Source organism: Homo sapiens, chromosome 14, assembly GCF_000001405.40.
Source record: "Homo sapiens chromosome 14, GRCh38.p14 Primary Assembly".
Classification (NCBI taxonomy): Eukaryota; Metazoa; Chordata; class Mammalia; order Primates; family Hominidae; genus Homo; species Homo sapiens.
The window spans coordinates 25,410,602-25,433,778 of NC_000014.9; the positions used below are offsets into that span (position 1 = coordinate 25,410,602).

The 23,177-nt window shown below is 40.2% G+C and overlaps 1 long non-coding RNA gene and 1 pseudogene across 1 annotated transcript in view; one reads left to right on the forward strand and one right to left on the reverse strand.

The window, feature by feature from the left end:
* Positions 1–23,177, forward strand: part of LOC112268135 (uncharacterized) — a 93,016-nt gene that overhangs the window by 59,307 nt on the left and 10,532 nt on the right. The window lies entirely within an intron of this gene.
* Positions 14,310–21,640, reverse strand: LOC401767 (glycerol-3-phosphate acyltransferase 4 pseudogene; annotated as a pseudogene).

The window sequence follows — 23,177 nt, forward strand, 5'->3', positions numbered from 1 at the left end:
TGGGGAGCAGATGAGCTGCCCTCTCACAGCTGGGGGATCCATCTGTTCAGAGCAGTGTATACGCCAAGACCAAGGGATGTAGGAAACAGAATTCAGCTTCCTACGGAGGGACTTGCAGGTGTTAGACATGGCATCTCAGAGAAGCAGGCCAGTCTACTGTGCTAATGAGGACCTGGATGCTCAGCAGAACTTCCGGATGCACAAACGGAACCATCAGCGGTGGGTAAGTGGGCGACTGACAAGGCTCAGAGCTTATCAGAGGGAGTAATTCATTTTCTAGCCTTTGGAGTCACCAAAGGAAGTGTACCACTTGCAACTTTCCCTAAGACTCAGTTCTCTCCTTTCATTAAACTAGGGAACTTAATGCCTACCTTGGAGGGTTGTTGTATAAACTGAATGATATAATGTAAATAATGTGCCTTGTGCTGGGCACATAGTACATCCTTAAATGTCTCTATTGCTGGGTGCAGTGGCTCATGCCTGTAATTCTAGCAGTTTGGGAAGTGAGGTAGGAGGATTGCTTGAGCCTAGGATTTCAAGACCAGCCTGGGCAACATAGGGAGACTCCATCTCTACAATATAAAATAAAAAAAATGTTTCTGTTCATTCTGTATATCTACCCACTGGAGTACCAAAATTCCTATTTTGATCAGTATTAGTCAGAAAATGGGTGAACTGAGCCTGTGGTTAAAATATATCAGTAAATAACAAGGGCTATATAGGCCTGGGGAAGGTAGGGTAGGGAAGTAATATGGCTAGCTGGGCCCAGCATGATCACTATATCTATTGAAACCAAGCAAATGAAAATAAGTGAGCTAAAAGGGCAGCCAGAAGACAGTAATAATACATGATAACACTAGTAACAAGCATTTTAGTGCTTACTAAGGGACAGGTAGTGCTCTAAGCACTTTACTTTCTCCAGTAAATCTACAGGGTAATACTGTCATATCCCCATTTATAGATGTGACACTGAGCTATTGGAAGGTTGGGTTTTGCAGCTAATAAGTAACACAGCTGGGATTCAGAACAGCAAGAAAGCTCTGACGCTTTTGAATTTTGGACACTAGAAGAAAAGACTAGAATAGATGTTTACAGCTTCTTTGGACTAGGCCAGACTTGCTGCATCAGAATCATCCAGAAGTCTTTTTAGAAACACCAGTTCTCAAGCCTTATCCCTGGAGGTTGTAACCCAAAAGGTTTTGGTGGTTTCAGAAGTCAGCTTTTAGAAGGCTGCCAAGGTGATTCTGAAAAGCAGCTGCACTCGGGAGCCCCTGAGCCACATAGTTTCCAAGCTAGTGTCCAGGTCACCTCCTTTATTCCCAGTTTGTAATTTAGAAAAGCAGGCTATGAGCTTGAGATTTGCTGAGATTGAAATAATAATTTATTTTAGCGCTGGTTAGTTTCCAGATTTAGAGCCTACAGACTGCATTCTAGTGCTTTCCGTGGAGGCAGTGCAGTGGTGCCTGAGGATCTCACAGGCAGCAGGGCCACTGGCTGACCACTGGATGGCATCCCTGGCCTTCCTTTTCTTGCAAGATTCCTGCTTAGAATTCACAGCTCTTGTTAGAGTGCTCCCATGGCCTCTTGCCAGTGTCTGTTCTTACAACAATGAAATACAATCAGTGGATCCCACCAAGCCCCTTGACCAGCAGGGGTGTGATTTCAGACCCAGGTAGGCCCTGTGTGAATGTACAGAACAGGAACTTTTTAACGTGAAGGGAGGTTTTTCATTTACAAAAATAGCCTCCCCCTATCTCATTCTGGAATATGTTTATAGATTATGCTTTTAGTGATGGAGGATGACAATGCAAAAGAGAAGTCCAGGAGAGGTGATCAAATAAAGATTTTCAGCAATGAAAATCTCTGAACCTATAATGTTCAAATCCTGTCTCCTATAGGAAAATAAAATTTGTTTATATCTGATTTTAGAAGCAATTGTGTTCTGTGAATAAGGATATTTATTTGTTTTTTATTTACTGCCCTCTAGTGGAAACACATTAGAAATTTAATTTACTTAAGATTTTCAAGATAGAGTACGGCCGACTCCAGTAGGGATGTCTCTAAGACACAGAGTTCTGGGAAGTTAAATGAGTTTCTCATTAAAAAGATATTTTGAGACCAGGTCAATTGCTTTTCTCAGACAAACATTAAGCAGAATCTATCATTTAGTTTACATTTTTTACACCATTTATATGATCATAGGTCACAAAAAAGCTTGACCATAGAAAGATTGGACATTGAAATGTGCTTTTTAGAAACATGTATTCATGCTGTCCAGGCTTTTTCATTTCATTTAAATATGTGCTTAGTGAATATGCAGGGGCTTTTAAGTTATGTTGTATTTCTGACCTTTGCTTTTCCCCCTTACTGTTTTCATATTTTATTGAATGTTTAGCTTTCTTACAAAGTCCAAAATACTCTTTCCTGGGCAGCTTTGCTTTACTGGAAGATACTATGCTCCTGCTGGTCTTTCTTTGAGTTTGTCATGCTGACAGGCTGTAATTCTTATTAGAGTTTTGTTAATGTACTAGAAGGAAGGCCAAACCTGATTCTTGGAATTGAACCTCAGTCTTGCCATGGAGATACTTGGCTACATTCTGGATTCAGAGGAAATCTCAGCTCTCAGGACTGCTCCATATATTGGTGGGTACAGAGAGCTGGACAGCTCCCAGGTCTGCTGTCCATGCAACATTTTATAGTCTGCAGTTTCTTTAGTTGATGTTTTCAATTCCAGAATAGCAACAGAGAGAGCACCTAGCAACCAAGGGGAAATATTTAATCCCTCACCTTTTCTCTTCCTTAAAAAAATATTAAATTTTCTTGCCTTACCTTTCCTCTCTCTTTCTATTGCTGGGAATTTTACTTATTGCATTAGACTGCATACACATGCATGCTATAAAAACTAATCTTATTTGCTATCCCCTTAAAAATATAATCAACGACCCCTTTGCAATACCCAACACAATCAAATCACAATACAAACCATCCTATAGATTTCCTAGAGGATAAAGCGTCATTGGTTGTGTGTCTATTTCCTGCTGTGTCTTATTTTAAGCTCCCTGAAGCTGAACACAGTCTCATTTCCATCTTTGCGAGGGTACTAGCTTACCTCGTGTAACGTCTAGATGTGGTCACTTGGATTGCGTCTCTGTAGACATTTCTAGATTAGTGAATATGCAGGGGCTTTTAAATTATGTTGTGTTTCTGACCTTTGCTTTTCCCCCTTACTCTTCTCATATTTTATTAAATTTTTAGCTTTCTTACACAGTCCAAAATACTCTTTCCTGGGCATATTTGCTTTACTGGAAGGTAATATGCTCCTGCTGGTCTTTCTTTGAGTTTGCCATGCTGACAGGCTGTAGCTCTTACTAGAGTTTTGTTAATGCACTAGAAGGAAGGCCAAACCTGATTCTGTCAGATAACATTAGAAAAGCCACAACATTTTGTATCGTAATGGGTATCGTTCAAACGTATTTGAAGGTTCAGAAACTTTGATACCAATTAAATAGAATGCTTGTTGAGGTTCTTGTGCCATGTAAGGTGTAATAGAAGAGACCTTGTATAAGATAATTAACAAGAATTATTGAGCACTTGCTATGAGCCAGACACTGTTCTCACTTAGTTCTCACCACCATCCTTTGAGGCGAGGATGTTGAAAGAAGTTTTACCTTTATTGTGGTTCATGGAAGACATATAATACAGAAAATCAAGACTATCTTGCACAAGGAAAAACGACAATGAACCTCTCGGTTAGATGCCCATGGGGTGCCAGACTGTGGCCCTCCCATCTGTAGGCTTCGACATTTTGAACAAGGAATACCTGAGAGTAGATCTGAAGGTGACTCACATTTGCCATATTTGGGTACAGTTTTATGTACATCTGCACACAATGAATGTCAAGTAATGATTATCTGTTTCACTTTGGCTCACCTGTCACCTTCCTTGAAACGAACTCTATGGGAAGCGGTGGTGCAGTGAGTCTGAGATTAGATCTGGAGGGAGTTTGATGATGTAGAAATGTTAAGGACACTTTGGGTCCCTTCATCCAGCAGGAAGTGAGTCTTACCAACTCTGTCTCTCTCAGACAGTGCTCGAATGAGAACTACAAATGTTTGTTCCTGCTACTCTTCTTTTAATTTCTGTCATACTTACAAGCCTCCTGCTGTTCACATGATCTTTCTTCAATTGTGGTTTAATGGAATTGCTTAGTTTTGTGCTTAACTAAATTAGAATCTCATTTTAACCTCACCTCACCTCCTTCTGATTCTCTCCAATCATTTAAGTTGAATTTTTGGATGTTCCCTGATTCATTGTCACACATTTAGGCAATCTTTGTATCTGTTCCCTGGATGACTGACCATAATTCTCATGTGGGGATTTTGCTATTATTTTTAAACTATCATTGGAAAACTATATTTTTAAATTCTTAGGAGACAACTTGTAGTATATACCACGTACAAACAATAGGACTGTTATGCTATGCTGTTTCCTTTCTCATGTTCTTATTAAAAGATAATGACTCCTTTAAAAAAGAACAGGCTGTATTCAGAGCAGTTTAATACTGCTATGTTCCAGAAACCTGGCAGAATCATTAATAAGGAAACCAGTTGTGTGTAGATTTAAATTAATCAGCAAGCATCTAGCAGCTAGTAACCTAAGGGGAGGGGAAATCTTTCTCCTTGAAAAGAGAAAATATACTCCCTTCTCATTGAGAAAACACACACAAGCACACAAGTGTGTGCACACACACATTTATGGAGAAACGGACATATGGTGTGACCATAATCTTTTCTCCTTCGTGGTTTCTGTCACACTGTATGAAAGAAAAAGTTTAATTCTTTAAAAGATGCACTGCACTCCCAGGAGAATGATTTCCTGAGGGATGGAGCAATCATGCTGGCTTATATTCACCATTGTGAAGAGACTTATTGGATGTCAACTCCAGTAGCACAGGGAGCCACATTCACGGTTCCACGTCAAATTAGGTAAGAACAGAGATGCAGACGTAGGGAAGAGAAAGCATGGAACAGGCTGCAGGCAAATTAGGGCTTTCCTATCACCAAAACCACTGGCAAGGCCCTTTCTTGGAGTCTGGATTGATGATAGCTGAGATTAATTCTAACTCAGAAATTTTGTCTCTCTCTTTAATAAAGGCATATAAAAACCAAGAGCAATGAACAAATGGGAGTTTGACACTTGACAAAGTTGTTTAAGGCTGTAAATGTTTGAATAAATTCCATAAGAGCTAAAAGAGATTTAAAATAAATTGGAAAGCTGTTTATTTTGAGCTAAGCTATCATTAATTGAGAATTGAGGCACCCAATTTACCTCTTTACATTGTGATGTATCATTTAACCATACTACTTCTTTATATTAATGCTTAGTTGTTAATATACTCCAGTTTTTGTTTTGAAGGAATAATTTAGTTGAAAAACATGTGGATATCTCTTTGACATTAGTAATTTGATACTTATGGGAAAATTTTTTACATGAAACAGAAGGACTTCACGCAATGGATAAAACATTGAACCATGTTCCAAGAGCCTGCATTCCAAAACCACCTCTACCCCTTACAAGAAAGTTTACTTGGGACAAATCTTCTTCCTCCTTGAGCCTCAGTTTATCATGAGTAAGACTAGTATAAGGAAAAGACCCCACCTTATCTGAGCCATAAGGTGATTTTAATTATCAAATACAGTTAAATCAATTTAGAAGTGCTAGGGAAGTTAGGAATTACCATAAAAATTTAGTTTTTGTATCTTGAATTTTTGTTTTGTTTTGTTTTTTTTGTTAGTGAATTCATAGCTCTGTTATCACCTCTGTGATCTTAGAGAAGCTGCTTCCATTCAAAGGAGCTTAGTTCTTCCATCCATTAAATAAAAAGACAGGACATGGCGGCCATTTGGTGAGCTCTGGCCGTGAGGCAGGAGACTTGCTAGCTGTGATGTTTACACTGTGCTCCATTGCACCCTAGTTCAGCACTACCTGGAGAAAGACGTTGGTACCCTGTGTTCACTAGAATAGTTCCACCTTTATCTGATTTAATTGGTCTTCTAAATAAACTTTTCTTTACTGAAATTCTTCTCCAGCTAAGCAGAAAAATAATATTTAGGAACCATTGGATTAGATAATCTATTATTTCATTTCACAAGTCCACAGTTGTATTTCTATTATCATTTTTGCCATTGTTGTTAATACTACAGCACAGACATCACCCACACTGGTGGCAGCACATCTGAAGAGCAGTCATAGAACTTGAAAGAAAATGTCAGATCTTGGAAAGCTGGCTTGTTTTGCAAATCTAAATAAGCAGAATGGTAGAAAACATCCCAGGCCTTTATTTAGGTCTGTTTTACTAATCGTGGGCCACTACTTGAGTGAGAAGGTGTGTGTGGATTAGCATGCCCTGACTACTCTGGGTCTGCTGGTGACACGGTCACATTAAAGGAAATAATGCTTTCATTAAGGTACAAGCTCCTTCCTTCCTCAGGTGGCACTGACACATTCTCTAACACTTGCTCCTTTCACTGACTCTGTACGATGCCAATGTCCTGATGCTCCACCTTTTTAAACTAGCAAGACATCTGATCTCTTTTGAAGATATTGACTTACTGGCCAGGCACGGTGGCTCACGCCTGTAATCTCAGCACTCTGGGAGGCTAAAGTGGGTGGATCACTTGAGGCCAGGAGTTTGAGACCAGTCTGATCAACATGGTGGAAACCCATCTGTACTAGAAATACAAAAATTAGCCAGGCGTGGCGGTGGGCACCTATAATTCCACCTGAGACATGAGAAGTGCTTGAGCCTAGGAGGTGGAGGTGGCATTGAGCCGAGTTCGCACCACTGCTCTCCAGCCTGGGTGACAGAGCCAGAGCTAGACTCAGGTTCTCAGATTCTGTCTCAAAAAAAAAAAAAGAAGAAAAGAAAAGAAAAAAGGTACTGACTTATGTTTGTACATTTATAAAACAGAAAAGCTAATTGTGGATAAAATATTCCACAAATAAATGACAAGTTTGTGGATAGAGCCTGGTGGTAAAAGTAGGTAGAAATGTGACAAAAGGAATATTTACATCAAGTCTTATGTGATATGTGATTAATCTCATACCAACTTTCTTAACCAAAAAACAGCTGAGATAAGAGCCTCACGTTTTTAGGGCCATACTTAAACAAAAGCTCACTTTATGTCTCTCTCTCTGTCTCTATACCTATAGATATTTATATATATAGACATCTAGATTCATATATTAATATCTGTAGCTATTTATATGTCTAGATATCTCTATGTGGAGTAGATCTATATATTTAGATAGATATATCTATATGGACCTATACTAGCTCTCTCTATCTCTCTCTCTCTATATATATATGTATGTATATATATCCATACTATATATCCTTATTTATAGAGAGGCAGATAGAAAGGTAGATAGATATAGCTTGGGTTAAAATAATGGCAAGGCTGTTGGGGATTGAAATATATCTACCTATATAAATAAAAGGTAAAACAGTATAAGCTTAAAGAGTAAAACTGAACATATTACTACTCATTTTGGCCATATATTCTCAAACCATCAGCACCATTTCAGGTAGCATTAACTTTTTTCAGGTTAATTTCAGGTTAATTAAAAGATTCTTCAGATTCTTACAGAATCCTCCAAGAGATGTTCAACTTTCAGACGGAGTTCTCTTTTTCCCCTTTAAGGGGGAATTTACCTACATGTGATGTTCCTTGTGGTTTTTTCCTTCAGATTATTGTTCTCCATCATGTTTACTGCTTCTGATCCTCTAATTTCACAAAGTTTTCCTCAGGCTGTTGTAGACAAAAATGACAAGCCTGACACTAATCTTATCAGTAATGATTTAGCTATTGTGTTCATCTGAACCACAAAGAACATAAATACTCTAAACATTTAAACTGCATTTGATTTTTTAAAATATTACTATTCCATACAGTATAGCCCTGTCATACTATATTGAAGGTCTTTAATACAGTTTTAATGCAAAAAGACATTAAACACAAGTTAAAATAATGGCAAAACAGGTGTTGACATTCTCTGGTTTATTATGTTCGAATCACTCTTCTTCAGTCCAGTATAACCTATGAGGCTGACAAGGTAGTTATTTAAAATTACTTCTTAGTGGCTCTTGTCCTAGACTTGCAATATCTATTAAAAATCTTAATGAGGGGATTAAAAACCTTTTTGGCAAAGGTAAATAATACAGACTCTTTTATTAAAATGGATAATCTGAAATGAAATTTGAAGCTGGGATAACAACAGTGAGTAGGCTAGTGATTTAGCTCCTCTAAAAGACAAGCTTCCACCATTTCATTATGGAGTCTAGAAATTTGGCCCTAGACTATTTTTTAAAAAATGGGCCAATTTCATTGCATGGAGGGTTATTGACATATGTATCCCTTTAAGAAAATAACATCTCCTGTGTGCTCTGTGATGAGATTTCACATTAAAATCTTGTTTCTTATGTTGCTAAGGTTTTGAGACTTAATGAACTTGAAGTGCATATTTAAAAAGGTAATTAATGCTCAATAATTTTTATTTTCTTGTTGATTTTATTTTTAAAAAAGATCTTAAACTGCATAGCATGAAAAACAAGGCAGATGCAAGAAAAGCTCTGAATGGAACCAGTTTGAGTCAATATGTGTGTGTGTGAACACATGCACACATATAAAATATACCTATATAAATAGTTTAATACAAATAGAATGATATTTTATATGTTGTTTTTAACTTGATTTGTATCATTATTTTATAGATTCTTCACATGCCAATAAAAAGAATACCACACCATTTTTGTCTTTTACATATTAAATATCCAATAAGTATGTTTTAAAGAAATTTATAGTGGTAGAATATATATTCAGTGGCCTGCATGATTTGACATTGTTATATCTTAAAAGAAAAATAGGAGTGTGTGTAGAATATGTGGCCTCCAATATTCTAGAATACAGGTGTTAAAAATGGACATATGTGTGTTAAATATATAATATGTGTGTGTGTATATATATAATCACTGATATAAATAAAAACTGGTATCTATCTATCTACCTACCTACTTACCTTCTGAAATAGTCATTAGTATGGAAGAATGCTGAAGGATGCTTCAAAAATGTAGAAGGATCATGTGTAATTATATATAATATATATAAATATATATAAAGTTTTTATTAATATCAATGATATATTTAGATTTTTAAAAATCTGATATATATGATATAATTATCATGTATATATTTTATGATTTTTGACTTATATGATTCATATAAAATGATAATATATTTATAAATCACATAAAATGATTTATATGATGCATATAAAATAATAAATTTATGAATCACATAAAATGATTTATATAATTCATATAAAATCCTTCCAAATCTTTGTAGCATCCTTCAGCATTCTTTCATACTAATGACTATTTTGGAATATATTCTCTTCTACAGATCTGGTGGTTAGGTACTTTGAGGACTATCTGAAGATCCAAAATAGATTTCTTGTGGTCTTTGTGGCAATTAGGTAATCAGTAAAGCAGGTTGCATGTGCATACCATCTTATTCTCAGCACTGATTAAGTACTGAAGAGGATATAGAAGATAAAAGACATGATGAGGACCGCCTTGGGTGATCTGTTTATGATAATCAATGTTACCCATTCTTCAGGGCTTAGCTTAGTCATATGTATTGATCCCATTAATCCTATTTTGTTCTTCTAAGACTTCAAACCAGCAATTCTTACCTCCTCTCCATGACTCTGTGATTTGACTTCTGCCTTATCATCCTCACACAACTTGCATTTCAACCACATGAATCTATGTACAGTTTTCTAAAACACAATGTTTTCTCTAAGATTTTTTTTTCCTGGTTTTAATGACTTTCCTAACTCCTCTCTTTCTGGTAAGCTCTTAATTATGCTTCAAAGGTCAGCTCAAATATCATCTCCTTTGGAAAGCCTTCTCAGGACCTCTCTTAGTAAAATTAATCATTTTTTCCTCTTTCCATGTAAAATAGTATAAGCCTGCTTTTTTTTATTAACACTTATGGCAGTGCTGTGATTACTATTTGTTAGTGTTTGTCTCCTCACGTAGAATTCATCTTTCCATTTGTAGCACTGAGTACAGTTTCTGAAAAATAGGAAATACTAATACAACCAACATATGACCAGGTCTCCATGGAGAATCTTTGCTCTTGAAGCCAAACTCTGCATTCATGAAATCTTCAGAAAACATATTTAACTTCAGAAAGCATTAGCAGTAATATACATTTTATAAACGATTTTGGGGAGAAAAGAGGATTAAGGCTTTGTATCAAACACCAAATCACTAACAACTTGATTAAAAACCTTTAGCTTTTTTCTCCCTATTTCTTTCTGTCAGGTTTCTCTTCTGCATCCTCCAATGCAAGGGGCACATCAGAATCTTTAAGTGTGTATAATGGTGTTAGTGTTGGGGGCTGGTGCATGCAAGTTGTATGTCAAATGGATGCAGATTTAAAAAGTGTACAGGGTAAATATCCAGTCTGGTAATTATGCACAGGAATGTGAGACCCTCTATGACCTAATTTCTCCAACTTTCCGGCCACATCTTTTGCAATTCCCTTCCTTGCCTATTCTGTTTGTAGTTTATGGTACATAACAGGACACTTCATGACAGAATTTCCTCACTCATGCACTTTGCTTTTTCAGTAGTGCAGTGTTTCACATCTTTACCTGGATTATCTCAATTCACTCCTCAAATTCTCTAAGAATCCTTACTTAAAATGTTGCAAGTCCTCCTTCTCTGTGCACTAGTGGGAGAAACTGTTCTACAGAAAAGGAGAAGCACATGAGCAAGAAATCAGCATGACAAAGAGTATGTTGTGTGCCATAAATGAAAAAGGAGATTCGCTGAAAAAGGAGGTTCAAATATGGATGTGCTCTCTTTCATACTCCTGTTAGTCTATGAGCTTCTCAAAGGTGGACAGTAAATTATGGGTTTTTGCCTGACATATAATAACTGATTAATAAGTGTGTTGAAATGAACTATATTCTATCCCAAGTAGAATGTAGGCTTTTTCAGAGAGCATAGTTTGCATGTCTTTTAGCATATGCTGTACTGACCACAGTTCATTATTCGACAAATTAATTTTACAATTTCTCATTGTTTTGCTACCAAAAATTACAAACCATACTTACAGAGATAAATCTGTGAATTGAGTTTCCATAATGCAAAACTTATTGGAATAGTTCACAAGAAATTTAACTGTGATGGGTCAATTTAAAATGTGTAGCTTGTTAATGACAATGTTTGTCCTTAGTCTGACCAACTCAAAACTGTTAGTCAGACTAAATTAACTTCATCTTGATGTATTTTGGGATGATTATTTGGAGATCTGGCAGAGATCGTGATATACAATTTGGTGCAATTAGAAAGAAATTTTTTATTTATTCTTATTTCTATTTTATTATTTCTTTGAGACAGTGTCTTGCTCTGTCACTCAGGCTGGAGTGCAGTGGCATGATCATAGCTCACTGCAGCCTCAACCTCCTGGGCTCATATGACCCTCTGGCCTCAGCCTTCGAAGTAGCTGGGACTACAGGCATGTACCACCATGCCTGGCTAAATTTTTCATTTTTAAACCAATAGGAAAGCTGTTTATTCTGTTTGGCTGTAGTGAAATCCTTTAGTCACTTTGAAACTCTGTTGTATTATGTATAAAAATGGAGAATGTACAACTATAACTACATGAACCATATGACTCACTTAGGCTCCATTTAATTTGATACAGACACCATGATTATCTACATTATGGGTTGGTAAACTACATCCAGTGAGATATTTTGGGCTACCACCTGTTTTTTCAAATAGAGTTTTATGAACACTGCCAACCTCATTCTTTACATATTGTCTGTGGCTGCTTTCTTTTTCTTTTTTCCAACTTATTTTAAGCTCAGGGTTACATGTGCAGGATGTGCAGATTTGTTATCTAGGTAAACATGTGCCACGGTGGTTTGCTGCACAGATCATCCTATCACCTAAGTATTAAGCCAAGCATCCATTAGCTATTCTTCCTGATGCTCTCCTTCCTTCCACCTTTCACTTTCCAACAGGCCCCAGTGTGTGTTGTTCCCTATTATGTGTCAATGTGTTTTCATCATTCAGCTCCCGTTTATAAGTGAGAACCTGTGATGTTTGGTTTTCTGTTCCTACATTAGTTTGCTGAGAACAATGGCTTCCACCTCCATCCATGTCCCTGCAAAGGACATAATCTTGTTCCTTTTTATGGCTGCATAGTGTTCCATGGTATCTATTTACCACATTTTCTTTGTCCAGTCTATCATTGATAGACATTTATGTTGATTCCGTGTCTTTTCCATTGTGCATAGTGCTACAGTGAACATACACATATCTGTGTCTTTATAATAGAATGATTTATATTCCTTTGGGTGTATATCTAGTAATGGGATTGCTGGGTCAAACAGTATTCCTGCCTCTAGGTCTTTGAGGAATCGCTACACTGTTTTCCATATGGTTGAACTAATTTACACTTCTACAAACAGTATAAAATCATTTTTTTCTCTGCAACCTCACCAGCATCTTTTTTTTTTAAACTTTTTAATAAAAACCATTCTGAACTGGCATGAGATGGTATCTCATTGTGGTTTTGATTTGCATTTTTCTAATGATCAGTGATGTTGAGCTTTTTTCATATTTTTGTTGGCCACATGTATGTCTTCTTTTGAGAAGTGTCGGTTCACATTCTTTGCCCACTTTTTAATGGGGTTGTTTTTATTTTCTTGTGTATTTGTTTAAGTTCCTTGTAGATGCTGAATATTAGATCTTTGTCAAATAAATAGATTGCAAAAATTTTCTTTCATTCTGTAGGTTGCCTCTTCACTCTGATGATAGTTTCTTTTGCTGTGCCAAAACGCTTTAGTTTATTTAGATCCCATTTGTTAATTTTTGCTTTTGCTGCAATTGCTTTTGCAATTATATTAGTATACTTTAGGTTCTGGGATACATGTGTAGAATGTGCAGGTTTGTTACACAGCTATACATGTGCCATGGTGGTTTGTGGCACCCATCAACCCATCATCTACATTAGGTATTTCTCCTAATACTATCCCTTCCCTAGCCCCCATACCCTGACAGGCCCCAGTGTGTGATGTTCTCCTCCCTGTGTCCGTGTGTTCTCATTGTTCAACTCCCACTTATGAGTGAGAACATGCAGTCTTTGGTTTTCTGTTTCTGTGTTAGTTTGCTGAGAATTATGGTTTCCGATTTCATCCATGTCCCTGCAAAGGACATGAACTCATCCTTTTTTATGACTGCATAGTATTCCATGGTGTATATGTGCCACATTTTCTTCATCCTATTATTGATGGACATTTGGGTTGGTTCCAAGTCTTTGCTATTGTGAATAGTGCCACAATAAACATATGTGTGCATGTGCCTTTACAGCAGCATGATTTATAATCCTTGGGTATATACCCAGTAATGGGATTGCTGGGTCAAATGGTATTTCTGCTTCTAGATCCTTAAGGAATCACCACACTGTTCTCCACAGTGGTTGAACTAATTTACACTCCCACCAACAGTGTAAAAGTGTTCCTATTTCTCCACATCCTCTCCAGCATCTGTTGTTTCCTGACTTTTTAATGATCTCCATTCTAACTGGCATGAGATGGTATCTCACTGTGGTTTTGATTTCCATTTCTCTAATGACCAAATAAACATCTACAGAACTCTCCACCCCAAATCAACAAAATATGCATTCTTCTGAACCCCACATCACACTTATTCTAAAATCAACCACATGATTTTAAGTAAAACACTCCTCAGCAAATGCAAAAGAACAGATATCATAACAGTCTGTTAGATCACAGTGCAATCAAACTAGAACTCAGGGTTAAGAAACTCACTCAAAACCGCACAACTACATGGAACCTGAACAACTTGCTCCTGAATGACTACTGGGTAGATAATGAAATTAAGGCAGAAATAAATAAGTTCTTTGAAAGCAATGAGAACAAAGACACAATGTACCAGAATCTCTCGGACATAAATAAAGCAGTTTTGAGAGGGAAATTTATAGCACTAAATGTCCACAGAAGAAAGCAGGAAAGATCTAAAATCGACATCCTAACCTCACAATTAAAAGAACTAGAGAAGCAAGAGCAAATAAATTCAAAAGCTAGCAGAAGGCAAGAAATAACTAAGATCAGAGCAGAACTGAAGGAGACAGAGGTACAGAAAACCCTTCAAAAAAAATCAGTGAATCAATGAAATGAGTTATTTTGTTGTTGTTTGTTTGTTTTTCATTCACCAGTCAGTTTTATTTACTCACAAAAACAAATCCAAAGCCTGGTGCAGCAGCTCTGAGCTCAGACCTGCCCTGCCCTGTTTTGTAGGCCTGTACTTGAAACACTGAACATGACGTGTCCTTCATTCACCACAGCACTTTAATCCCCACAACAGCCCTGCGAAGTAGGAATCACCACCCTTCCCCCCGACTCATGTTACAGATGGGGAAACCGAGGCACACATTCAACAGAGTGCACATCACATGGGGAGTTCAGGGTTAGCCTGGAGTATGAACACATGTGACTCTTGGTTCTCACCATGGCCCAGTCAGTGGCCCACTTGGCCTCTTCCCCTCCCTTTGGTGGCCCCATCAGCAGCAGCATAAGAATCTAACCCTTCGTTTTGCTGAAAGCCCCTGCAGATGACAGTTTCCTTCCTATCATGTCTGCAGAGCTCCAAGGCTGGGGGTGACATTGAGGCCAAATTCAGCCACAATGTCTCAGCTGTGCCTCTCCTCCAGAGTGAGTGGCCGCCCCAGCATGTCCCTGGCACATGGGTATGCATAACAGACTCCTGTCCCACACCCCTAGCACTTGAACGTGGCCACATCTCCCCAACCACTGAGCCCACACAGCGTGCACAGGTGGGGGAGTTGACTTTAGTGGCATTCCTCCTGTCACACGCATCCATGTGAAGAGACCACCAAACAGGCTTTGTGTGAGCAATAAAGCTTTTTAATCACCTGGGTGCAGGCGGGCTGAGTCTGAAAAGAGAGTCAGCAAAGGGAGATGGGATGGTGCAGTTTTATAGTATTTGGGTAGGTAGTGGAAAATTACAGTTAAAGGAGGTTGTTCTCTTGCGGGCAGTGGCAGGGGTCACAAGGTGCTCAGTGGGGAGCTCTGGAGACTTATTGTCCAGGAGAAGGAATGTCACAGGGTAATGTCATCAGTTAAGGCAAGAACCAGCCATTTTCACTTCTTTTGAGGTTGTTCAGTTGCCTCAGGCCATCTGGATGTATACGTGCAGGCTTGGGCTCAGAGGCTTGACATTCCTGTCTTCTTATATTAATAAGAAAAACAAAACAAAATAGTGGTCAAGTGTTGGAGCAGCAAAAATTTTGGGGGGTGGTATGGAGTGATAATGGGTGATGTTTCTTAGGGCTGCTTCGAGAGGGATTAGGGGTGGCTTGGAAACCTAGTGTGGGAGAGATTAAACTGAAGAAATATTTTGGGGTAAAGGGTGATATTGTGGGGTTGTTAGAAGGAGCATTTGTCATATAGAATGATTGGTGATGGCCTGGATACTGTTTTGTTTGAATTGAGAAACTAAACAGAAGACACAAGGTCTGATTAAGAGAAGGAGAAAAACAGGTATTGAAGGACTAAGAATTGAGAGGACCTAGGACATCCAATTAGAGAATGTCCAAGGGGGTTCAGTGTAATTATTTGTTTGGTTGGTGAGTTTTTGGGCTCTATCCTTGAGTTTTTTTATGTTGTCGTGTAGCAGGCCAGATTGATTTAGGTAAAAACAACACTCTTCATTTAAAAATGTACAGAGTCTTTCTTTTTCAGTAGTGAGTAAGTTGAGGACTATTCCTGTCTTTTTATATTAATAATAATAAAAAACAAAATAGTAGTGAAGTGTTGGTGTCATAAGGGGAATAGGAAGTTGTTCAGCCCTATTTGAAAATTGATTTTGGGGGGTAAAGAAAACTAGTGTACATGTGCCTGTCCAATTGATGGATAGACACATGTAGGTGGAGGAATCACAGAGGAGGAAGAGACCTTTGTAAGGCAAAACTGGAAATGTAAAGTGAAAAGATGAGAGGGAGCACCAAAAGGGCTTGACTGAAGTAATGGGGGCTGTCCCTGAAGCCTTGAGGCAGCACAGCCCAGGTTAAGTTGCTGAGACTGATGGGTCTCAGGGTTAGTCCAAGTGAAAGTGAAGAGAGGCTGGGATGAAGGGTCTAAAGGAATAGTAAAGAAAGCATCTTTGAAACCCTGCACCCAGACTCTTAGGGATTTAGTGAGGGCAGCAACCCTTAGAGGTTGTAATGGGGATTGATGGGGCAACTGGGTAGGGGGGAGGTTCTATTTTTATGGTGTATGAGAAAGCGCATAGTGTGTATGAGTAACCTTTCACTGCTATTCATGGGGCTGGGTATAAGCAAGCAAGAGGAGAGGCTAGGAGAAGAGTTCAAAGAAGAAGGGGAAGGTAGCCAAGGATGGAGTGATATGAAGGGCAAATGTCTTAAAGGAAATGAGAGGTTCTAAGATGTGGGTTAGTAAGGCTTGTAACCTACAAGGTAGAGGTTATGAAAGGATGATAGAATGGGATGAGCCTGTGAGGCTGGAAAGAGGAATTTTTCTTGGTCCAAGAACCATTTGGCTTCTGTGGGAAGAGACTGATACGCGGAAGTTTCAGTGGGAGAGTAGGTGGGAGTGATAGAGGAGAAAGAAAAATACTGGCTGCTTCTTTAGCTGTCTTATCAGCATAATTGTTGCCTTGAGCAATGGGATCTGAGGCCTTTTGATGGCTTTGCAATGAAGGACTCCAGCTTCCTTTGGAAGTAATGCGGCCTTGAGATGAGTTTTTATTAAAGAGGCATTAATGATGGAGGACCCTGGTGTAGTGAGGAAACCTCTTTCAGCCCATATAACAGCATGGTGGTGCAGGATATGGAAAGCATGTTTAGAGTCAGTGTAAATATTGAGTTGGGAAAGGATTTAGGATCTATAGGGTCAGCTAGGTTTCCCTTTCTGAGTTTATATAATGGGTTTTTTTTTAGGATAGCAAAACCAGGTATCCAAAGGCGAAAGTACCCAACCATGCCTAGGAAGGAAAGGAGTTGTTGCTTTGTAGAAGGGGTTGGGGTTTGAGAGATTAGCTGGACATGATCAGCAGGGAGAGCACGTGTGTCTTTATGAAGAATTATGCTGAGATAGGTAATGGATGAGGAAGAAATCTGGGCTTTGGAGGGGGATATGTAATATCTTTTTGAGAATAGATGTTGGAAGAGCAGGAGGGTGTCCTTTTGGGAAGTTTCACAGGGGTCTACAAAGTAGAAGGTCATTAAAATATTGAATAAGGTGAGAAGCAGATGGATGGAAAGAAAGTAAGTTATGAGAAAGGGCTTGACTGAAGTAATGGGGACTGTCCCTGAAGCTTTGCAGCGGTACAGCCCGGGTTAAATTGCTGAGACTGATGGGTGTCAGGGTCAATCCAAGTGAAAGGAACGAGAGGCTGGGATGAAGGGTATAAAGGAATAGTAAAGAAAGCATCTTTGAAATCCAGAATAGAATAATGGGTTGTGGAGGGAAGTATTGAAGATGGGAGAATATATGGATTTGGCACCATGGGGTGGATAGGCAAGATAATTTGGTTGATAAGTCGAATATCCTGGACCAGCCTGTAAGACTTGTCTGGTTTTGGAAAGGTAGGATAGAAAGGTTGTAAGGAGAGTTTGTAGGCCTTAAGAGGCCATGTTGTAACAGGCAGGTGATAACAGGCTTTAACCTTTTTAAAGCCTGCTGTGGGATGGGATATTGGCATTGAGTGGGGCAAGGGTGATTAGGTTTTAATGGGATGATAAAGGGTGCATGATCGCCAAGGAGGGAGTAGAGGTATCCCATACTTGTGGATTAAGGTAGGGAGATACAAGGGGAAGATGCGAAGGAGGCTTTGAACTGGGGAAAAGGGTGGCAATGAGGTGTGACTGTAGCCCAGGAATAGTCAGGGAAGCAGACAATTTAGTTAAAATGCCTCAACCTAATAAGGGAGCTGGGCAGGTGGGGATAACTAAAAAGGAGTGCATAAAAGAATGTTGTCCAAGTTGGCACCAGAGCTGGGGAATTTTAAGAGGTTTAGAAGCCTGACTGTCAATACCCACAGTAGTTGTGGAGGCAAGGGAAAAAGGCCCTTGAAAATAAGGTAATGTGGAGTGGGTAGCCTCCCTATTGATTAAGAAGGGGACAGACTTACCCACCACTGTAAGAGTTACCCAAAGCATCTGTGATAGTCCAGGAGGCTTCTGAGCTGATCAGGCAGTGTCAGTCTTCAGCCACTAAGTGGGAAGGAGTCAGTCAGAGAGCCTTGGGCCAGAGTTCCAGGGGCTCTGGGAGTGGCTGCCGGGTGAGTTGGACAGTCTGATTTCCAGTGGGGTCTTGCACAGATAGGACACAGCTTAGGAGGAATCCCGGGCTGTGGGCATTCCTTGGCCCAGTGGCCAGATTTCCAGCACTTGAAACAAAATCCTTGGGGAAGAGGTCCTGGAGAAATGCCTGGCCACTGCGGTTTAGGTGTTTTGAAGTTCTTGTGTGCTAGAGATGTGGCTGGAGTTTCTCTCACAATGAAAGCAAGTAATTGCAACTCAGAAATACGTTGCCACTTGGCTGCCTCTTCTCTATTATTGTACACCTTGAAGGCGAGGTTAACTAAGTCCTGTTGTAGGGTTTGAGGGCCAGAATCTAATGTTTGGAGCTTTTTCTAATGTCGGGAGCAGATCGGATAATAAAATGCATATTGAGAATAAGACGGCCTTCTGGCCTCTCTGGGTCTAGGGCGGTAAAGCATCTAAGGGTTGTTGCCAAAAGGGCCATGAACTGGGCTGGGTTTTTATATTTGATAAAAAACAGCCTAAATGCTAATTGATTTGGGAGAGGTCGGATAAAGAAAAAGGAGCATTAATCTTGACTATGCCTTCATCTCCAGCCACCTCTGTAAGAGGAAATTGTTGGGCAGGTGGGGGGAGGGCTAGTTGCAGAAAGAAACTGTAAGCCAGAGTGTGAGGAGGGGAGGTGTGTGTGAGGAGGGGAGGTGATAGAAGGATTATAGGGTGGGGGAGTGGAGGCTGAGTAAGAATTGGGACCCGGCGCGTCTTGGTGAGGAGCAGCCTGGGGAGGAGGGGAGAGGTCAGATGGGTCCACAGAAAAGGAGGATTCAAAGGACTCAGAGCTTGGGGTGGAGATTGAAGGAACAGACAGGAGAGAAAGAAAGATTTGGGATGAGTCACATTGGGAGCGGAGATTAGGGAGGGACCGATTTGAAGTTCTTGAAAACACAGGCTAAGGGAGAAGAAGGGGGACTGGAGGATGGAAGGTTGTCCATAATGAAGGAGGTAAGTTTAAAGAGAAAAGTAGAGACACGGAGAAGGGGGTGGTGAGCAGCCCTGGGCTGTAATGTGGGTGAGCAGCCAAAGCAGGCATTCCCGCAATTGACTTGCCACCGAGGAAATGTAGATGAATGATCAAGGCAGGTGTCCTTGTGGTGATCAGACACCAATGGAATGTGGGTGAATGATCAAGGCAGGCATCCCCGTGATGATCAAACACCAAGGGAAGACTGTCTTCCTGAGTCCATGACCAGCGTGGGAGTTTGGGGTCCACAGATAAAATGTGTCTCCTTTGTCTCTACTAGAGAGGAAAAAGAACTGGAATTGGAAGGACAGGGAGACTGAAGGGTAGCGAGAGAGGCTGGAGAAGAGAGTGAAAAGACCACTTACCTGATTTGAAATTGGTGAGATGTTCCTTGGGCTGGTTGGTCTGAGGACCAGAGGTTGTAGGTGGATCTCTTCACAGAGTGAGGGCAAGGACAGGGGACCGGTGTCCCAGAAGAGTCCCCTATCCTGGGTCTTCGTCACCAAATGTCACGCGCGTCTGTATGAAGAGACCACCAAACAGGCTTTGTGTGAGCAATAAAGCTTTTTAATCACCTGGTGCAGGTGGACTGAGTCCAAAAAGAGAATCAGCAAAGGGAGATAGGGGTGGGGCAGTCTTATAAGGTTCAGGTAGGTAGTTGAAAATTACAGTTAAAGACGGTTGTTCTCTTTCGGGCAGTGAGGCGGGGTGGGGGTGGGGGGTTGGTCACACGGTGCTCGGCGGGGAGCTCCGGAGACTTGTTGTCCAGGAGAAGGAATGTCACAAGGTAATGTCATCAGTTAAGGCAGGAACTGGCCATTTTCAACTTTTGTGGTTCTTCAGTTGCCTCAGGCCATCTGGATGTACACGTGCAGGCTTGGACTCAGAGGCCTGACACCTCCAACAACTTATTGTAAAAGAAACAAGGCATTTTATCCTGGGTCGCGACACCCAGCAGCATCCGTTCATACCGCCAAGGGCAGGTAGCTCCGGTGCACAGGGATCCCACTGTGCTTGGTGAAATCCAGAGTCCTGGGATCCAGAGCAGCCCAGGGAGCCCTGGATTCTGGAAAGGATGCAGCAGTGGAGGCAGCGGCGGCAACTCCAGCTCCTAGCCCGGGATCACTCCACACGGTGGCCCCAGCCAGCTCGAAGCAAGCTCATGAGCGACTCCTGTCCTCGTGGTTCCTCACAATCATCTTTTTGTATAGCTTCTGCTGCTCCTCCTTGAACATGTCCTTTACCTTCTCCCTCTTCAGGCCCCCATCCCACAGCAGGTCGACAAGTTCTCCCTGCCTGGCGATGGCGGATTTTATCGTATTCATAAACTGGACGGCATCTTCATCTGCCCCTCTGGTCATGGAAGGCAGGTACCACATGCTGCAGATAATGGCCCAGCTGGTCATCATTCGCAGCAGGTAAGTCATCATCCCTTATTTGCTGCTGTTCCAGAAGGCATTGCCGAATTGATGGTCATACTTGATAGCATCAGGGTAAACTGTGGCTCCAATTTCAAAACTTCCCTTTTTGAACATCATCACCGATGTATTATTGATGCAAATTCCTTCTGGGAAGATGAGGGATAGGCAGCTTGCTTATATCTTGCACTTGTTCAGTCAGTCTCTTAGCCAGCAGGTGGCGATCCTTCACTTCCAAGCGCTCAAACCAGATGTGTGGGCAAGTCTTCACCATGGCTCTCTGAATCAAACCTATGAGTCCCCCATGCATTTGACCCACTGTGGCATAATAGCCATCGCTGGCCAAGATGATCACATCGATTGGCGAGGTATGAAGCAAGTATCCCGCCACAGTCGTGCCCACCACTAGAAGGCTAATCCCTGTCAAGGCCAGCGCTATCCTGCGCAGCAGCAGGAAGCAGTACCAAATCAGCCCTGCTAACCCGCACAGGACCGTGACCTGAAGGGTGATGTACCTGAAGTTATAATTGGTTCTGCTCAGCAGGTTCCAGGTCTCCAGTTCTTCTGCTGAGAATCTCTTTGTCACCTCATCATCCATAATGGTCTCCATTCCTTTCCGGCAAAAGTAGAAAATGTCAGAGAGCTGGAACTCTGGAGTGTTGTCCAGAGCCTTACTACTGCCACTTCAACGAATCTCTTTGATCTCTTCTTCTAGTGAAGTGGGATCCTTTGCAATATTTCTGTTGGTGTAGGGCTTGTAAAGCTGGTGCTGCTTCTTCTTGGCTCTTTGCCAGTAGCTGGTTTTTTGAAAAGATTAACAAAATAGATAGACCACTAGCCAGACCAATAAAAAAGAAAAGAGAGAAGAATCAAATAGATACAATAAAAAAATGATAAAGGGGAGACACCACTGATCCCACAAATACAAACTACCATCAGAGAATATTATAAACACCTCTACATAAATAAACTAGAAAATCTAGAAGAAATGGATATATTTCTGACACATACACCCTCCCAAGACTAGACCAGGAAGAAATTGAATCCTTGAATAGACCAATAAAAAGTTCTGAAATTGAGGCAGTAATTAATAGCCTACCAACCAAAACAAGCCCATGACCAGACAGATTCACAGCTGAATTCTACCAGAGGTACAAAGAAGAGCTGGTACCATTCCTTCTGAAACTATTCCAAGCAATAGAAAAAGAGGGAATCCTCCATAACTCATTTTATGAGGCCAGCATCATCCTGATACCAAAACCTGGCAAAGACACAACAAAAAAAGAAAATTTTAGGCCAATATCCCTGATGAACATAGATGCGAAAATCCTCAATAAAATACTGGCAAAGAGAATCCAGCAGCACATTAAAAAGCTTATCCACAACAATCAAGTTGGCTTCATCCCTGGGATGCAAGGCTGATTCAACATATGCAAATCAATAAATGTAATCCATTACATAAAAAGAATCAATGGCAAAAACCACATGATTATCTCAATAGATGCAGAAAAGGCCTTCGATAAAATTCAACACCCTCTTGCTAAAAACTCTCAATAAACTAGGTATTGACGGAATGTATGTCAAAATAAGAGCTATTTATGACAAACCTACAGCCAATATCATTCTGAGTGGGCAAAAGCTGGAAGCATTCCCTTTTAAAACCAGAACAAGACAAGGATGTCCTCTCTCACCACTCATATTTAACATACTATTGGAAGTTCTGACCAGGATAATCAGCAAAAGAAAGAAATAAAGCGTATTCAAATAGGAAGAGAGGAAGTCAAATTGTCTCTGTTTGCAGATGACAGGATTGCATATTTAAAAAACCGCATCATCTCAGCCCAAAAGCCCTTAAGCTGATAAACAACTTCAGCAAAGTCTCAGGATACAAAATCAATGGCAAAAATCACAAGCATTCCTAAACACCAATAACAGACATACAGAGAGCCAAATCATGAGTGAACTCCCATTTACAATTTCTACAAAGAGAGTAAAATACCTAGGAATACAATTTACAAGGGATGTGAAGGACCTCTTCAAGGAGAACTACAAACCACTGCTCAAGGAAATAAGAGAGAACACAAACAAATGGAAAAACATTCCATGCTTATGGCTAGGAAGAATCAATATTGTGAAAATGGCCATACTGCCCAAAGTAATTGATAGATTCAATTCTATCCCCATCAAGCTACCATTGACTTTCTTCACAGAATTAGAAAACAACTACTTTGAATTTCATATGGAACAAAAAAGAGCCTGCATTGCCAAGACAATCATAAGCAGAAAGAACAAAGCTGGAAGCATCACACTACCTGACTTCAAACTATA